We start from the raw sequence: 3563 nt of genomic DNA on the forward strand, positions 1-3563 counted from the left end.
CGCAGGTACGCCTGTCGCCAGGACGCCTCTACCCTGGACGGTAGGAGGTTGCCGTGGGAACGGCTGGGGCAAAGCCCACGCCCGCGCATGCTCAGGAGCGACGCCGACCAATGACGTACTTCGCAGGCGCGCGGGCGGGCCTGGCAGTTGGCGCCCATGGAGCCAGAGCTGCTGGTTCGGAAGGTGTCTGCATTGCAGGTGCGGGGGCGGGCGCGGGGTTCACAGGATTTTTCCTTTAGGGAAATCATGGGGTCTCGTACCTGGACCTCCCAGCGAGATGCTACCACGTTCAGTCCCCTAACTGCGCGCCAACCTCTGGAGATACCGGCTGTCCCCAACCGCGCTGAGGAAAGCTGGGACCCACGGACTCCCTGCCCTGCGCGTCCCCACTCCCACCACACGCTCGCGCCGGATCAGGGAAACGGGAAGAGCCTTAAGGCGAGGAGGGGCATCCAGTCTGGCATCGTCCCTCGAGCCCCCCGGAGCCCTAGCGCACAGCCCACCTATCCTTTCCCCGCCGTCAGGTCCCCTCTTGCATTCGCCGGGACGACCTCTTCAGGACAGTCCTCCGAGATGCCCCCTCTCTTACCGTGATAAGGGACTTCTTTCCTCTCGTTCTCCATACCAGGCCTGCGTCCGGGGCTTCTTGGTCCGACGCCAGTTCCAGAGCCTGCGAGCTGAGTATGAGGCGATTGTACGAGAGGTCGAGGGCGACCTGGGCACGCTTCAGTGGACCGAGGGCCGCATTCCCAGGCCGCGATTCCTCCCAGAGGTAGAACACACCTAGGAGAGAAGGGAAGGAGGGACTTGGGCAGGGTGGAACCCACCCTTCCCAGTGATAAGCTTTTCTCACTGGAAGAGGCAGTAGACTCACCTCCTCACACCCCACTCCTTAACCCTCACCAACTTGTCTGCTAGATCATGGTGCCCAGATACTTGGAAGGGTTTAGCCCTGGGGCTCTCACATCTCTCTTGTTTCTCAGAAGGCAAAATCCCATCAGACCTGGAAAGCAGGAGACAGGGTAGCAAATCCAGAGCAGGGGCTGTGGAACCACTTCCCATGTGAAGAGTCTGAGGGAGAGGCCACCTGGGAGGAGATGGTGCTGAAGAAGTCAGGAGAGAGCTCAGCAAATCAAGGAAGCCTCTGCAGAGATCACAGCTCCTGGCTTCAGATGAAGCAGAACAGGAAACCCAGCCAAGAGAAGACCAGAGACACGACAAGGATGGAGAATCCAGGTACCTCTCTGCAAAGATCAGGGCAAGCCCCTGACCCTCACTGTGCCTCAGCCTCCCATCTGAAGAGTGAAAGGCTTGCGCTAGATAAGCTGCATCCCTTTCCCGTCTTCCCTCTGCCGGGATAGGGCCACCACATGGTTGGGCAGTGCAGGGGAGGGAGTTTCCAAAGTCTAAGGCTAGGCCATTTCCCAGGGTCTGGTCCCTCAAGGTTTTCTCCTTCCTTTCTTCCCTCCTTCACAGAAGCCACAGATCAAAGACTGCCCCACAGCCAACCTCAGCTTCAAGAGCTTCAGTACCACCGCAGCCACTTGGCCATGGAATTGCTGTGGCTGCAACAGGCCATCAATAGCCGTAAGGAGGTAACACTAACCTGGAACTCTTTCTGAACATTTAGGGTCAAGGGTGGGGGTTAGGGAGAGACGACCTGCCATGCCCAAGCAGGCCTGCTTGGTACAATGTATGTTCTCTCCCCCAACAGTACCTACTTCTTAAACAAACACTGAGATCCCCAGAGGCGGGCCCGATCAGAGAGGAACCCCGCGTGTTCCTAGAACATGGGGAACAGGCCTGTGAGAGGGACCAGTCACAACCAAGCGCACCACTGGAGGACCAGTCCTACAGAGACAGGACCACTGGAGAGCTAGAACAGGAGGATGACTCCTGTCACAGGGTCAAATCACCCCACAGATCCCCAGGAAGTTTGGCCACTACACAAAAAAACATTGCTGGGGCTAAGTGCAGAGAACCATGCTACAGCAAGTCTGGACCACCGTCGTCTATACCATCAAACAGCCAGGCCTTGGGGGACAGGCTCACCAAAGGGCCAGACGATGGAAGACAGACCTTTGGAGGGACCTGCCTGCTGCAGATGAAAATCCTGGAGGACCAGACCCCCAGAGGTTTAAAACCTAGGAACCATTGTCCCAGGAAGTCCAGGACACAGCTGTCTGCACTCTATGAGGACTCAAATATTAAGGAGATGTCTCCCAGAAAACTAGACCACAAAGAGCCTGACTGCCGAACAGTCAGGACACAAGAGTTGGGCCTCTCAGAGGACCACATCATCTGGGATGGTACCTTGGGGGGGCCAGAGCATAGTGTCCTCGATCTCTGGAGGACTAAACCACCCAAAGGCCAGGCCCCCACTGATAGAAGCTCCAGAGATGGAACCTCCAATGAGCCTAGTCATGAAGGACAGAAAAAGCAGAGGACTATACCATGGAGATCAAAGTCACCTGAGATTCTGTCTTCTACAAAGGCAGGCTGTACAGGAGAGGAACAGTGGAGGGGCAGGCCATGGAAAACAGAACCACCTGGCTAGACCCTAGGAAGCCAGGAGAGGATCAGGTTCCAAAGGGGAATGCTATGAAAGGGCAGTGAGACAAGACCTCATCCTACCTCCCTGACCAGCTCTGGCTTCTGCTCCTGCCCCTGGCCATTGGTGACTAGTGGGGCCAAGAGAAGCTGGAGCAGAGAGCTGGCATGAGTATAGGGAAGGAGGAAGGACACATTTTCAATCCTCTGCCTGTAGCTCAATCCAAATTTGTGGATAAGGGGCCGGGTGCAGTGGCTCACACCTGTAATCCCAGCACTTTGGGAGGCCAAGGTGAGTGGATCACCTGAGGTCAGAAGTTTGAGACCAGCCTGACCAACATGGTGAAATGAAACCCCATCTCAACTAAAAATATAAAAATTAGCCAGGCGTGGTGGTGCATGCCTGTAGTCCCAGTTACTCGGGAGGCTGAGACAGGAGAATCGCTTGAACCCAGGAGATGGAGATTGCAGTAGGCCAAGATGATGCCACTGCACTCCAGCCTGGGCTACAGAGCGAGACACGGTCTCAAAAAACAAATGTGTGGCTAAGGAGTTACCTGGGGGAAGTAGAATGAGAGGTCTGTTGGGAATAAAGGTTTTTCTTAGATTCTGAGTCTGGCTGCTTTCATTTCTGCTTCTGGCCAGGACAGATTCTGGGCCCTGCCGTTCACTTCCTACTGGCATGGGGCATTGACCCCGGAGCCAGCTGGGAGCCATGGCCCAGGAAAAGATCTAGCCATCCTCCTTAGGGAACAGCTCCCAAAGCTGATCCCCAATTGAGCTCAGCCTTGTGCTTTAGAGTGGCAAGGAGGCTCTGGAGAGTAGGGTAACACCTATGTTTAAGTGTGATCTCCCCAGGGCAGATGGGATAAAACCCTGAATGCAGATAAATGCTCCTGCCACAGTCTCCCTCTGCCTTCCTGGGTGAGAGGGCAGGACTCCACCTCTGATTGGCAATGTTCCCAGCCCTTCCTTGGTTGCCTGGCAACAGGTCTGTTTCTCTGACTGAGGAT

The 3563-nt window shown here is 55.9% G+C and overlaps 1 protein-coding gene across 2 annotated transcripts, besides 1 other annotated feature; it reads left to right on the forward strand.

Annotated features, from left to right (window-relative positions):
- Positions 84 to 303: an enhancer, noted in NCBI's record as "active region_675". NCBI's record gives its function as "activates an Ori minimal core promoter by ATAC-STARR-seq in GM12878 lymphoblastoid cells {active_cell/tissue: GM12878}" and the evidence as "EXISTENCE:reporter gene assay evidence [ECO:0000049][PMID:35858748]".
- Positions 146 to 3157, forward strand: IQCC (IQ motif containing C). Of its 2 annotated transcripts, none has more exons than NM_001160042.2 (5): positions 146 to 438; positions 629 to 772; positions 984 to 1236; positions 1477 to 1595; positions 1715 to 3157. In NM_001160042.2, exons 1-5 carry the CDS (start codon positions 157 to 159, stop codon positions 2555 to 2557), a joined length of 1641 nt encoding a protein of 546 aa, NP_001153514.1. In that variant the 5' UTR covers positions 146 to 156; the 3' UTR covers positions 2558 to 3157. The 2 variants fall into 2 exon arrangements, with proteins under 2 accessions (NP_001153514.1, NP_060604.2); NM_018134.3 differs by having other exon boundaries at positions 146 to 198.
- Positions 3158 to 3563: the final 406 nt, after the last annotated feature.

Source organism: Homo sapiens, chromosome 1 (assembly GCF_000001405.40).
Source record: "Homo sapiens chromosome 1, GRCh38.p14 Primary Assembly".
Lineage (NCBI taxonomy): Eukaryota > Metazoa > Chordata > Mammalia > Primates > Hominidae > Homo > Homo sapiens.

Bases quoted from the DNA above. Each gene is read 5' to 3' on its own strand.
- IQCC (NM_001160042.2), top strand. From the start codon at position 157: ATGGAGCCAGAGCTGCTGGTTCGGAAGGTGTCTGCATTGCAGGTGCGG. The intron at 773-983 runs GTAGAACACACC...CTTGTTTCTCAG, and splicing joins GGCCGCGATTCCTCCCAGAG to AAGGCAAAATCCCATCAGAC. The intron at 1,596-1,714 runs GTAACACTAACC...CTCCCCCAACAG, and splicing joins CCATCAATAGCCGTAAGGAG to TACCTACTTCTTAAACAAAC.